Genomic DNA, 15,961 nt, shown 5'->3' on the forward strand with positions numbered 1-15,961 from the left:
GGATTACAGGCGTGGGCCACCGCACCCGGCCAGCTCTTGTACTTCCTATTCAGCCTCCTGAGACGTAGTTCTGTTAGAAATTCCCTCACATCTTCCCAAGGCCACCAGCCCTCTATGATCTGCTGCCACTGAACCTCACTCTCTCTAACCTTGTCTCCCATTCCCTGAAGCTCAGTTTCATGCCCAGAAGGCCCGACTCATGGTCCGTAAAGTTCTTTCATAGCTCCCTTCACCGTCAGCCCCTTCATACCTTCTAGCTGTGCTCGGACAGCCCCTCTCGGTGAGAGCTTTGCTGAGCACCTTATTAAAATTGCAGACTTCACCCCACCCTCATCCTCCTCTCCCTGCACTACTTTATTCTTCTCCATACTGCTGATTACATTCTAACAAACTGTTTATATACCTGATTTACTTCTGTACAATTCCAAATATAGCTTTAGAAATAATTAACTTATCCAGCTGGCTTCCTGGCTGTCTCCCTCCACCAGACCCAAGCTCCGCTGCCGGGGCTGCTTCACTGTCATGTTCTCTGCCTGCATCCCTGCTGCCCAGAACACTGCCTGGCACACAGGAGGCACTCAATCGGTGTTTGTTGAATTGAATGTGTGTGACACTGGTCAGAGGAGGAAGGAGTAACAGATAAGCTGATAAAAACCATGGTCACTCTAGTGATCATTTTAACCCCAACAAGGGTGAAAATGAGAGGCAATAGCTTCAAGTTCAAGGCATCTAGAAATGCACTTTGAACATCTTAAATAAAATTGTATTAAACGGATAAAAAATATATAGTTCAAATATTTTTATGTCAACTTGACTCTATGCTCTTGAAGCAATTATTCAGAGTATCTGAGTTCTCAATGAACATCTTTCTAACAAGTCTTGGACTTTTCCGTAGTAACAAAAATGGAAGAGCTTCAGAGCACCAGGGCGGGGGGCAGGGGAGCACTACCTGTCTGAGCTCCCGTGTCTTTGTGGGAATGTGGGAATAACAATGTCTCACAAGACTGTGCTGGGGATCAGATGTAATCATGTAAAAAGGAGCTGTGAAGCATACAATGCTAAGCAAACCTTGTTATTCTCACTATGACTACTTCCAGGCTCATCTCCACACTACTGGGGTGAGAAGGGATTTTGTGTAAGGACCGAGCACTTAGCCAGCAGAGAAGTCATTTCCACAGATGGTGTCCTCTGAGACTGCAGGTCTTTGCGGGATAACAGCGCCGTCTTCCTGAGCTGTCCGGAAAGGCGATGTCCATGGGACCCAAGAGCTCAAAGTCCCACCAACCCCCTGAGGCCCCAGTTGCAGCCCCTCAGCCCCAGCCTTTCTGGAGAGGTCTGCTATTTTCTGTTCAAATCCAGAATTCCTAGCTCCTGAATTATTTTGTTTGGACCATCTCCTTGGGTGCATTCGCCCAGCTGTGCTGAATGGCGTTGCGGGGTCTACGGGAGAGCAAGTGTGAAGACTGGAGGCAGTGGCAGCCCGAGGGTGGGGCTGGAGCGGATGGTGAAGGGTGAGGATGGAGCCAACAACCCACCAAGGAACATGGAGCTGAAGGGCCTCTGCACACTGGGACACCTGTTCTCAGTCTTTATCCTCTCAGCTGGGTTGTGCGAGGTCCCTCCTGCCTCTGCACCTGGGGGATCAGAGAGAAGTGGCATTGAGCCTGGGAGTCCTACGGGGAGGCCAATGGGGCAACGCAGACCATGGAAACGCCACGGCACCCTGGAGGAAGCTACACCCTAGAATGGGGCTGACAAAGAGGGAGCTGAGGAGTACACCAGAACCATGAGCTCTCAACCCACTGCAGACGAAAAGACAGCACTGTCTGCACGCAGCCTTCAGCAGCTAAGGCAAGGAAGAGATGCTTGAAGAATCATGTCTGCTGAAAACCCAAGGATCCATGGAGCTGAAGAAAGAGGAGGGTCCAAGGGGGGCCGGAAATAAAGAGACCTGCGCTCAATCAACCCTCAAAGGGAGTTCACCAATTTCTTAGAAAGAAGGGCACTTACGTTAAGTTCATTCTTTCAAAATGATTTCCTGAGAGCCTCTGTATTTCTTCATGAAACAAGCTTAAAGAGAAGCTCCCCCAGTGCACACCAATACGTTAGTATATTGTTCTATCTTTGAATATTTAGATTCGCATTAACTGAAAAGTAAAACTACTCACAGGTCGCAGTCCACAGTGTGGCTTAATCACTTCCAGGCTTTGTATTGTCACGTTAGTGTTCTGACTTGAGGCAAAACTGAATCCTTTGAGGCTATGAGACCATAACAGACAACTGCGTAGAGACCCTGGTGCCCAGAGAATGAGCGGAGCCCTAAGCAGCTGCCCTCCTGAGCTCTATCTTCACAGGCCTCGCTCCAGCCTGTGCACTGCACCTGCGTCTGACTCACAGGTTCCTGATTGCCAAGATGTGTTACAGGAAAACTGTGCACACAGGCATCTTATCACCTTGTTTAAAAAGTATGTTTCTCCTTTTCTCTGGACCGGATCCTAAATCAGAGCGAGTCATTGGTATCTTGATTATTGTCTTGTGTCAAACAAAATGTTTATTTCCCCCGTGGAATGTAAAATTCCCAGAGAGCATTCCTCTCTGGCTCGTACTCATACTGGTCATTCCATCTGCTATAATTTGAATGTGTGCCCCAAAGTTCACATGCTGGAAGCTTCATCCCCAGTGCAACAGTGTGGGGACTGTGGCCTTTAAGAGGTGACTGGGTCATGAGGGCTCTGCTTAGTGAATGGATGAAGGCTGTTATCACAGGAGGGGTTCTGTCGGGATTGGGCTGGGCTCTGCCCCCTTTCCCTCTTTCTCTCTCTTCCGTGCTGTCTTCTGCTTAGTGAATGGATGAAGGCTGTTATCGCAGGAGGGGTTCTCTTGAGATTGGGCTGGGCTCTGCCCCCTTTCCCTCTTTCTCTCTCTTCCGTGCTGTCTTCTGCTTAGTGAATGGATGAAGGCTGTTATCACAGGAAGGGTTCTCTTGAGATTGGGCTGGGCTCTGCCCCCTTTCCCTCTTTCTCTCTCTTCCGTGCTGTCTTCTGCTTAGTGAATGGATGAAGGCTGTTATCACAGGAGGGGTTCTCTCGGGATTGGGCTGGGCTCTGCCCCCTTTCCCTCTTTCTCTCTCTTCCATGCCGTCTTGCCCTTCCGCTTTCCACCATGGGATGATGCAGCACAAAGGTCCTTGCCAGATGCTGGCACCTGAGTATTGGACCTCCCAGTCTCAGAGCTGTGAGAAATAAATTTATTTTATTTATAAATCACCCAGCCTGTGGTATTTATTCTATAATAGCAGCACAAACAGTCGAAGACACCACCCAAGAGGAGTTAGCTGTATTTTACTTAATGCCTAAGTTTTTAGGAACAAGATTGCTCAGGAAGAAATAATGCGTTCAGCGGTGGTGCATTCCGGTAATAAGCTCCTAAAGCACCTGTCAGGAGAAAAATCACATCTTGGACAAACAACACCTGAAGGTATTTTATGGGCAGTCCAGCGTGAGATAACTGCAGAGGCTGTAATCTAAACGTGTGCTGCATCTTGGCTGTGGTCTCCGGGCTGAGTGAGGCTGGTGGTCAACACCTTGAGGGGTGCTTTTATGGCATTAGCGGGATCTCATGAAGACGCTGATTTTCCCACTGCTTCACGCTTCTGCTGCTGTAGGACCTGCCCCAGGGGATGACAGAGCCCCTTTTACAGGCTTGTTCACATGAGGCTGCCCACGGCAGTTGCCAGCACTGTCCTGTGGGAGGGTGGGAGCTCACTTACAGTGTTTGTCAATTTCTGTGGGGATTTGAAGCTTCCATGTGAAATCAACTGGCTCAGGAAGTTTCTGAAAAGCTCACACAGAGTTCTGCCCCAGTAGGATAACCAGCTCCCACCGAAAAGCTCACACAGAGCTCTGCCCCAGTAGGATGAGCAGCTCCCACTGAAAAGCTCACACAGAGTTCTGCCCCAGTAGGACGAGCAGCTCCCACACATGCGGCACCACCAGGGCAGAAGGTGTGCTCCTCACCCGGCCCAGCGTCTCTGTGAACCTGGACATGCTACAGCTTTGTGCTGGGGGAGACCCCTCTGGAGAGGTGAGTCTGCACCCCACAGCTTCATGTAAACTCCTTGAGCCTCACCTCCCTGAGGATGTATGAGGCGGGCCTGTGCCCTGGCCATTCCCTAAATGGCGACTAAGAGCACCGTGGGCATTGGCGGGATTTCTGGCAGGGCACTTGCTGATACAAAGGGAGGCAGGAGCACATTCAGCAGCCTGGTCCACAGGGCGGGGGGCCTGGCCATTGCTGTCTCACATCCCGTGAGGGCAGGCTCTGCTCCTTGCAGAACCCCAGAGAAAAAACCATTCCCTCTCACTTCCTGGCTTGCAGCCCCATTCCCCCATCTTCAATCCACGCCCTGACCCCACCACCACCCATCTCCAGCCCATCTCTGCCCTGCCAAGTTCAGACCCAGCGAGAGCTCATGGTCCCTCCTCTTTGTGGTCTTGGTTTTCTTCCCAGGAGTCCATAGTCCCTTCTCTCTGGATGAGGCTCTCACTCTGTGCCCCCAGAACTGTCTGCCCCCTGGGACTGTGTCTGCCCCCCTGAACTGTGTCTACCCCTTGGCTCTCAGTGCAGCAGTAGGTGACCGTGGCACGGGAGGCATCCAGGTACCAGGAACTACACGCAGCTGGGTAGGAGGGGTGCTGCCCCCGGCCTCAGCAAACCCCTCAGAGACAAGGCTACTTGGATTATAGCAATTTTATATAACTGCTGAGCAAGCTGAGACAATGACTTTTCAACTTTTCAGTACTTCTATTTTGTGCCCTATTAACTAATATTCAATTTTTAATGCCAGTTGTATTTGTTGGAAGAAAATAATAATAGTAAAGAGACAGCTATTAGGAACATTATGGGTATTATGCTGTTTTCCTGTGATTGAATACTACATATTCTCTGGTTTCTGTAGCTAACTTTTCCGAAGGAAACACATTTATCCATGTGAATGTGTATTTGTACATTTTAGGCTTAAGATCTAAGTTTCTGAAATCGTGTGGTTATCTTTTTAATTGCTGGAGACTCTTAAAAGCTGCACCTTGAGAGGACTTCAGCCTTCACGCACATCATGACTTTTTCTCCTTTTTAGCATTGGCTGCGGGTTCTGAGTTAATGGAATGCCACCGTCTTGTAAATTCCCTGGAGGTTTCCACGGCAGCGCAAGGCCAGAGCTCCAAGACCCAGTTCTATGCCTGGTGAGAGTGTGACTGAGAAACAACTACAGCACCAGTCCAGGCACATTCATCAGAGCAGTGTTTTCCAAAGCTCAAGTCTGAAACCATTAGTGGTTCATGTCATCAATTTAGTGAGTAGGGCTGGCAATTTTTTTAATGGAATGGAAGAGATAATAATGTAATAGATTCTATACAATATGGACTAGAATAGAAGAAATTGCATTTCACATAGAGTGAGTATAGTTTCCTTAAATTATTTGCTTCAGATGCACTCACATACATACACACTTGATCACAATTATGTGTATTTCTTACTGGAGGTCAGACAGTCAAGGTCTGGAAGCCACTGTATTTTAGGAAGGAAAAGGAAAAGCAAACCTTCCTCCCAGGGAAGCAGATGAGGATAGAGGAAGCGGCAGTCAGGCCCTGGGGGGCTCAGGAAATGCTGGGGTTCCCTCCACAGTTTGTGTCGTCTGAGCACCCACCTTTGGAAATACAGTGAGGAGTCAGGGAGGAGACTTGTCTGCTCCTTTTACCAACCATCGGAACTTAACCCAGCGCTTAACTTGAGCTTCCTTGTGGGCACACGGCTTCAAGAAGGGGCTGCTCTGTTATTCATCCAGAGCGGCTTCACCATAGTTTAACATGGATTCTCCTCATTAAGCAGCTATATTGCTGGGGGAAAAAAAGGAACTGATAGGGTCATGTTCTTTTTTTTTTTTTTTTTTTTTTTTTTTTGAGACAGAGTCTTGCTCTGTCGCCCAGGCTAGAGTGCAGTGGCACAATCTCGGCTCACTGCAACCTCCACCTCCCAGGTTCAAGCAATTCTCATGCCTCAGCCTCCTGAGTAGCTGGGATTACAGGCACGTTCCACAACACCCGGCTAATTTTTGTATTTTTAGTAGAGGCGAGGTTTCACCATATTGGCCAGACTGGTCTTGAACTCCTGACCTTGTGATCTGCCTGCCTCGGCCTCCCAAAGTGCTGGGATTACAGGTGTGAGCCACCGCGACCGGACTGGTCATGTTCTTTTTGAAAATTGGAAAGATGAGTGAGCTATGCATCTATTTCAGTTACATTAAAATCATGATACTTTATAAAATTATAATACTTTTTTGATCATTTTAAACTCAACATTATCTTGAACCACATTTAAGAATGTAATAAATTTTATTTTTTCTTGTATCTTTTTGATGAAAATTGGACAACTATAACAATTATCTCTCTGCTGCTCGAATTCTTCGATCATTCCTGCACACGAGTCTAGAGAGTTGGTCCTGCACATATGTGGGGACCCTTTTCCACCCAAGCGACAGAAACTGCTGCCAACAGGAGCAAGGCCCCTGGGAAGCAGGCATTCCTTCTTCCTCATTGTCAGGTGGAAGGGGCCGCTGGGGGGATGGCCTTTCTGTGCTTTTGCATTCAGTGGCTCCACAAAGACCTACTTGCCACCTGGCCATAATAGGGAAAAACAACTGAGGTTACTTCCTGTTTCTCTTCATTTGTTCACCCTACTGTGACAGAGCAGACCTCATCCGCTTGGCTATCAGAGGCTGCAGCCAGGACGGAGTGCTGACCTAACAGGAAGAAGATGAAACCGTTTTGAAGGGAATTTCTTTACTGATGACTAAACAGGTTCCCTTCTCCTATCCTGCCGGCCTGAGAGAGACTACGTGTTGGCAAGAGTTAGGCTAGAGGTTTGAGCCTTGGTTCCCTGACCTCCTGATCTCTGACGGTGGCCAAGTCCATGAACCTTTCCGGCCCTCCATGCTCTCATCTCCAAAATAGCACCTGCCTCATAAGTGGGTCAAACGAGTTAAAGGAGTCAATATCTGCCCAGTATTTGGAGCAAAGTCTAGCAGATACTAAATACTTTACAATGATTAGTAATTATTGTCACCTCTCACTTAGTCATTATTGTCACCTCTCATATGCTCAGCAGAAAATGTTTTAAAATAGCTATAAACAATTTATCAAAGAAGAAGTACAGGCCAGGCACGGAGGCTCAAGCCTGTAATCCCAGCACTTTGGGAGGCCGAAGCAGGTGGATCACCTGAGGTCAGGAGTTTGAGACCAGCCTGGGCAACATGGTGAAACCCCGTCTCTACTAAAAATACAAAAATTAGCAGGGCATGGTGGCACACACCTGTAATCCCAGCTACTCAGGAGGCTGAGGCAGAACTGCTTGAACCCGGGAAGTGGAGGTTTCAGTGAGCCGAGATTATGCCACTGCACTCCAGACTGGGCAACAGAGTTAGACTTTGTCTCAAAAAAAGTATATATATACACATATATCTTTAAACATATATATATATTTAAAGATAGATATATATAAATATAGATAGATATATACAAATATAGATAGATAGATATAAATATATAGATATATATAAATATATATAGATATATATAAATATATGTATATATAAATATAGATATATAGATATATATAAATATAGATATATAGATCTATAGATATATAGATATAGATCTATAGATATATAGATATATATAGATCTATATAGATATACAGATATATAGATCTATATAGATATATAGATCTATATAGATATATATATCTATATATCTATATAGATATATAGATCTATATAGATCTATATATCTATATATAAATATAAAGATATATAGATCTATATAGATCTATATATCTATATATAAATATAAAGATATATATATCTATATAAAGATATATATATCTATATATAGATATATATACATATATATAAATATATAGATATATATAAATATATAGATATATGGACATATAGATATATATAAATATATAGATATATATAGATATATATAAATACAGAGATATATACATAGATATATACATATATAGATATGTACAGATATATATAGATATATATACATGTATAGATATATAGAGATATATAGAGATATATATACATATATAGATATATAGAGATATATATAGATATATACATATATAGATATATAAATGTATAGATATATATAGATATATAGATATATATAAATATATAGATATATAAAGATATATAGATATATATAAATATATACATATATAGATATATAAAAATATATAGATATCTATGAACATATATAGATATATAAATATATAGATATATAGATATATAAATATAAAGATATATATAAACATATATAGATATATAAAAATATATATAGATATATATAAACATATATATATATATAAAAAATATATAGATATATATTAACATATATAGATATATATAAATATATATAGATATATATAAATATATAGATATATATAAATATATATAGATATATATAAATATATAGATATATATAAATATATATAGATATATATAAATATATAGATATATATAAATATATAGATGTATAAATATATAGATATATAAATATATAGATATATATAAATATATAGATATATATAAATGTATAGATATATAAATATATATAGATATATATAAATATATAGATATATGTAAATATATAGATATATATAAATATATGGATATATATAATATATAGATATATATAAATATATAGATATATATAATATATAGATATATATAAATATATAGATATATACAATATATAGATATATAAATATATAGATATATATAAATATATATAAATATATAGATATATATATAAATATATATAAATATATAGATATATATATAAATATATATAAATATAGAGATATATATAAATATAGAGATATATGTATGTATTCTGTATTTAATTGCCGTTTTTCAAATGTTTCAAATGTCCATTAAGCCACTACTGATAAAGTATAGCAAGCTCTCCGGCAAATGCGTGGCTGCATTGGCTATGTTCCTCCCCTTATTGGAGGGGCTTTCACAGAGGTAGGAGATGGCCCCATGGTGCAGTTCCGTTTACCAAACTTGAGTGTGCTGGGTTCTAGAGCATGGAACTCCTTAGGTGTAAATATTCGCTCTGCCACTTGACAGCCATGTAGACTTGGGCAAGTAATCCTTGGACTTCAGTTTTCTCCTTGAAAATTCCCACCCCATAAGCATGGGGTCCTACAAGACTCTGCATGATCTACCCCAACTCCCCGATGTCTCATCCAGGGCTCCCCTCTGGGCTCACTCATCATTAGTCAATCAAACTCCCCTGTGGCTCAGTCCTGCCATGCAGCTGATCCCGCTGCCTGGACCACTGTCCCTAGGATCTGATGAGCCAGCCCTTCACCTTCTTAAAGTCTTTGCTCAGATTCACTTATTCCATAACGCCTTCCGGAAGTGCCTAACACTGCAGGCTGCCTCCACCACCCCATCGCCCTTCACCTGCTAGCTTGCTCTACTCTTCTTTTTCCATGGTGCATATCACCTTCTCATTCACTACACAATTCCCCTTGTTATTTATTATTCACTGTCTCCACCCTAGTATGTAAGCCCCATGAGCACATTTTGTTTAGTGCTGCATCTGAACTCTCTGAATGGCACCTGGCATGTATCAGACACGTGGTCCACAGATGACTATGGTGGCCATATGGTGGAGTGCACATAGGGTACCCAGCGCACAGGGGGTACAGCAGGCATGTCGAGCTGTGCTGGCGGGCAGCATTCACTCCACCCTTCTCTGGCCAAGAATCCTCATCTCCCTTTGGAGTACCACCCCCAACACACCATAAGTTCCTGGGAAGACTCACACCACAGCTGCCCTCCCCTTGAAATCTGCAGCCTGAAGAAAGTGGCCTAAGTGCAGAGCAGAGCTGCAGATCCATCCACGGCCCTGAGAGAATCTGCATTAGCTCCTGTGGACTGGATCCCCGGCCTACCTTGGTTCTTCAGTTTTTCCTTCCACCCCTTTTTGAGCCCATAGCCTTCTAATCACTTTCTTCTTTAATCACATTGAAGCAGAGCTGGCTTCTTTTGTGAGAATAAGGAAGAAAAAAATTTTCTCTACCCTCTTAAGTTCAGTGATGGGGGTGTGTGAATTAAACTGACGACAGACAGATTAACAAGAGAAAAATCATACAAATGTTTGCTAAGTCATGTGTACTCATGGGAGCACTCAGGGGGTGGTTAGAATTAGGGGTCTATAAGGGAAAGGGAGTAGGGAGAAAGGGTAATTAAGGAAAGCACATTACTTTTTTTTTCTTTTTAAGTAGAGATAGGGTTTCTCCATGTTGGTCAGGCTAGTCTGGAACTCCCGATCTCAGGCGATCCGCCCACCTTGGCCTCCCAAAGTGCTGGGATTACAGGCATAAGCCACTGTGCCTGGCCCGAAAGCACACTACTTTTTGGAAAGATAAATGGGCCCTCAGGAGAACAGACAGAAGGTATGACAGTCTTGTGACAATGTCTTTCTGGGTGGGATGCCAACTTCTCTTCTCCGAAAAAAGATTAGAGTTGCTCCTGGGAGGGGATTTATAATAACTGAGTTCTTTTGGTAGGCTCCTGTTTTAGGCAGGTAAGGGATTTCAGGAACTCAAATGCCTTCAACTCAATAGTTACAATAATCCTTATACCAAAGTGGCGTATCCTGAGGTGGCATTTCCTGATCCCCTTCACTAGAAACCAAAGAATCCTAAAAATAGATTTTGCTTTCTTAATTTATCTATTTAAATGCTGTTACAGACAGTAAAACCGAGGTTAGAAAGACATTTTTTAAAAAAAATTAATAACTGGACTAAGCCCTAGACGTGTTCACCTACAGTTCCTGCCCAAATTACCCCCAAATTGTCATTTTCACAAACTGAAAAACTGCACAGTGTTATCACATTCTGCAAACTGGAAGTGGGAGCTGTCAAGTCACAAACAAAGCTGCCGATGAATCCTACTGGCAGTCATGAAATATGTGTTAATTACCAGCAGAATCTGATACTGATAAAATAATGTTTAAAAATCCCCTCATCCTTCCCAGCACCCATGGCCTCTAGCTTTCATGGAGACCCTATTAGCAAAAGGGCATCAATTTGTTTACCCATTTCTGGTTGCTACTGGTGCGCCTGTAGAATTGATGTTTGCGTTACCAGCTTTCTGGCTGCTATGTTGAGACATCATCAGATTATAAATGTACTTGGGTGTGTAATACTTTAGGTAAAGATGGATATAAAAGGTAATAGAAGAGTAAACAAGGCAAGATTTTCTAGTGCAAATTGGAGCACTAAAGTCTAGCAGGAATGGAGAATCCCATCCTGTTTAAAACTCTAACAAAGAAGAGGGACAGTTTGAATGAGTGTGGAGAAAACTGAGGTGGTCACCAGTACGCCAGTTCCATTTCTGATTCAACTGAAGCCTTTACTTAGTCATCCCACCTGCTTTTAGATTTCTCCATGTGCCAAGAAAGTAAGTTCCCTTTTACGGGAGCTGTATTGATCATTTCTGATAAATCAACTAAATGGGATGAGTTGCTCATTTAGTAAGATGCATTGTCACTTGCTCATTGCTGCAAGAGATATTTGTGCACATTTACACTGTGTGAGCAGGTGCACCTGGAGCGTGAAGGTAAATGACAGCTCCTTGGTTCCAGCTGCTGGGAGGATGCACTCTAAGAGGAGAGAAGAGGTGAGCACAAAACTAGCCACGCTCAGGGCAGAGCATGGTCAGCATCAGAGGAGAGTTAGAAAGTGAGGGCATTTAGATTGATTCCATGCCAACCTAGATGCCCATCAATGACAGATTGGATAAAGAAAATGCAGTACGTATACACCATGGAATACTATGCAGCCATAAAAAGAATGAGATCATGTCTTTTGTGGGAACATGGATGAAGCTGGAGGGTATTATCCTTAGCAAAATAACACAGGAACAGAAAACCAAATACTGCATGTTCTCACTTATAAGTGGGAGATAAATGATGAGAACTCATGACCACAAAGAAGGAACAACAGACCCTGGGGTCTACTTGAAGGGGGAGGAGGGAGAGGAGCCGAACAGATAACTATTGGGTACTGGACTTAATGCATGGGTGATGAAATAATCTGTATAACAAACGCTTGGAACGTGAGTTTACCAATATAACAAACGTGCACAGGTACCCCTGAACCTAAAATAAAAGTTAAAAAAGAAAGGGTGGTTCCTCTGGGCAAGAAACGGTTCCCACCAGGAGGTGATATTTGAGCTTTAACATCTAGCAATGGCTTCCACAGGCAGAAGCCAAGGGCCAGGCACAGAGACGGTTAATTCTCTGAAGCAAAAGCACAAACAGGGATAGCATCGGCTGCTGCAGAAGTAGCTAGAGAGGAACAACGGCTGAAAGAGGAGGGCATGGCCGCCTCGTGGGCCTCGGCCCTGGCCGTGTGCAGCGGAGCCCCTGTGCAGGGGCCGCGACAGTCCCCCTCCACTACCACCTTTTCTTTGCAATCTCCAAGACCGGCAGCATTTTAATGCATGAGTTAAATATAGGTAAACATGTGAGTTAACGAGTTCATAAGAGCAAAAAGGACCAAACAAGGATTTCAAATGGTAATTGAAGGAAAACAGTCAAAAATTGATTCCTCTACTCTCTCAAAGATATGGAACATTTAGCAAAGAGCTAAGCCAAGCTGTCTCATCCTGAGAATGACACACCAATTACATTCTGAACCACATCCGTGTTCAAATCTGAACTGATATCTAATTCCAAGCACATAATGCTTGAAGTACTTTTGTTTAAATCTTATTTCTTTGTTCGCTTAAGGAAACCCAGAAAAGGGAAGGCAATTGAAAATTAATCATGTCTGCTGAGATTACAGTGATCACAGATAATTTTCCCATTTCACTTTCTCCTAATTGGTCTTTTATTTTTTTCAATTTTACTATTGGATAGTCATGAGTTTTTTTGTTTTTTTGTTTGTTGTTTGTTTGTTTAGATGGAGTCTCCTTCTGTTGCCCAGGCTGGAGTGCAGTGGCATGATCTTGGCTCACTGCAACCTCTGCCTCCCGGGTTCAAGCAATTCTCCTGCCTCAGCCTCCGAAGTAGCTGGGACTACAGGCGTGGGCCACCACACCCGGATAATTTTTGTCTTTTTAGTAGAGATGCGGTTTCACCAGGTTGGCCAGGCTGATCTCAAACCCCTGACCTCAAGTAATCCACCCACCTCGGCCTCCCAAAGTGCCAGGATTACAGGCAGGGGCCACCATGCCCAGCCATGTAATCTTCCTTAAAGGACATCAGTGATCTAGTATTTTTATTTATTGCAAATTATACAATAAAATTTGTACTTGATCATAAGCTTTTGTAAGATATTAAATTTTTTGAGACTAGAAAAACCAAATGAATAATATCCTACAGTCAGTCAAATTATTTGATATACAAATACAATGGGTTTCCTGAGGCGTCTGAGGAGGCTTGCGGAAGCTGTGTGAGAGGCGTTTTTATTTATCTAACGGTTTCTTCTTGTGCATTCATCTTCATGGCAGATTGGGGCTGGAGAGCAGCAGAGGTTTGGACCTTGTCAGAGGTGCATTTTTTATTGTGGTTTTTGTTATTTTTAAGACATTATTTGACCAAGAAGCATCAGTTCTGAATCAGGGCAATGACTTTCTCACTTTGGATTTATTGTGCCCTTATTTATTTAAGATGAGCTGAAAGAGGCCACCAGCAGAGGACACCCAAGAAGTCCTTACAACTGGTAGAGGAAGCAAGGAGAAGACAAAAAGGGGAAAATGCCCATCCACCCCACACTGCTAAATCTGTGAGATGACTGGTTTTTACCAAAATGAAATTAAAATTGAAGTGGGAGAAGAATCTTAGTGAACCAGAATGTTTCTAAGAAATTCGGACTCAGTGGCTACTGTGAATGCGTAGCTCAGATATCCCTGACCCGATGGTGTTTCCTGGTGCAGCAGGGCTGGCAGGGGCAACGTAGGAGGTAGAGTCTTCCTCACTGCAAGAGGGAATGGAAGACGCACGCCCGCAATCGCTGGGAAAACCAAACCCCAACTGGTTGCTCTGACAGCCTGCTGTCCTGACAGTTTGTCCTCAGGAACAGCAGACAAGTCCCCCAGGGGTGGGAGCTTGACAGCCAACAGCCACAATTGCCTGAGACACTGTGCTGGTGACAGGCAGGCAGGCTCCTTTGAGGCACTACTAAAGTCTTTTTGTAACCAAATAGGCAAGTCTTTTTTCTAATATCAGACATATATATTTGAGACAGGGTCTTGTTGTGTCTCCCAGGCTGGAGTGCAGTGGTGTGATCAGGCTCACTACAGCCTCAACTTCCTGGGCTCAAGCAATCCTCCCACCTCAGCACCCCAAGTAGCTGGGACTACAGGTGTACACCACACCCAGCTAATTAAATTTTTTTTGTAGAGATAGGGCTTTGCTATGTTGCCTAGGCTGATCTCAAACTCCTGGACTCAAGCAATCCTCCCAGCTTGGCCTCCCAAAGTGCTGGGATTACAGGTATGAGCCTTTGTGTCCAGCCAAAACTGAAAGTTTTTTAGAAAAACATAACTGTATTAGTCCTCAGGTTTTTTAAATTGCAAATGCATAGAACAGAATCATAACAAGTGTGGAAAATAATAAATCTAAGGCTGAAAGAAAAATGTCAGAAGAATCCACTTCAGGTTGACTTGGCCATCTTAGTAAATGACAGAGTTGGAGCACTGTCATCTTGGACAAACACCACCACTTTAAGTTCCAGCTCCCTTTCTAGCCTCATGCATTTCAAGGAAATCACTTCTCTTCTAACAACAAGCAGTCAGAAAGAGCAGACAGTAAAACACAGATAAGACAGCTCAGGCACAGAGGCAGGTGTGGGGAAGTCTCTTGGGTAACTGCCAAACTTCACCCTCATAAAATGGGCCCCAGTAAAACAGTGGGCATTAATAAGCACATTCTTTTCTCTTCAGGTGCACTAAGATAGGGAAGCTAAAAGCAGAACTCGGGGGTGGATTAAGCGGGGGTATGCCTGCAGCTGCAGAAAGATGTATGGGAACAGACACAACCCTCCCTCCCAGATAAGCACAACAAGGAGACACAGAAGCAGTCCAAGCCTCTGATAAACGTTCCCTCCCTGAATCCTTAAAAACTCTTAGTCTATAAGAGAAAGTGCCTCTGACCTCACTCGGCCAGAAGCCCCTCTCAGGTTTATTCTCTAAAATAAACCTGTCTTTGACTGTCGAGCCACTTTTCGTGTTTTTTTCCTCTTTCTTTAATTCTTACAGTAAGGAGAACCTTGGAGCATCGGGACTTTTAACTCTGTCTTTATGTATTTCTATCCTTGGGCACAATGAGCACATATAATTTTATAATTTAAAAAATCAGATAGAGAAAGCTTTAAGTGAAAATTGTTCTATTCTGTGATGCCTGAAGGTCAGTTGCACAAGGCAGAATTTTCCATGCCCTTCTATCAGGTCTGCAGTAGCAGAAGTGTGTGTGTGTGTGTGTGTGTGTGTGTGTGTGTGTGTGTGTGTTTGTGTTGGGGCGGGGTGGGAGGAACAGCATAAAGTCAGCTAAATGTGAGACAGCTCTGGGTCCTTCCAACATTACTGGTAAACAAATACATGCCATGTCAACACACCCTGTTGGAAATGTGTAGTTCATAGTCTAATGATATTAAAGAACCAGTCTGCAGGGTGAATCCCCTTTAAGCTTCATGAAATCCACCTAGATGTGCACCAGTCTACTGGTGCATTACCCAGCTGCCAAGTGTCCTGAGAGGGGGATTAATAATTTGTCCACAATACCAAGTACTTGAAATTTTTTCTCTCTCAATTTCCTGAAGAAATCAACAACACTAACAAGCTGTACGTACCAGAGTCAGCTAGCAATGC

At 43.1% G+C, this 15,961-nt stretch overlaps 1 annotated feature.

The window, feature by feature from the left end:
- Positions 6,809-6,978: an enhancer, noted in NCBI's record as "active region_25429". NCBI's record gives its function as "activates an Ori minimal core promoter by ATAC-STARR-seq in GM12878 lymphoblastoid cells {active_cell/tissue: GM12878}" and the evidence as "EXISTENCE:reporter gene assay evidence [ECO:0000049][PMID:35858748]".

The sequence above is a fragment of the Homo sapiens genome, chromosome 6 (genome assembly GCF_000001405.40).
Source record: "Homo sapiens chromosome 6, GRCh38.p14 Primary Assembly".
NCBI classification, from domain to species: Eukaryota; Metazoa; Chordata; class Mammalia; order Primates; family Hominidae; genus Homo; species Homo sapiens.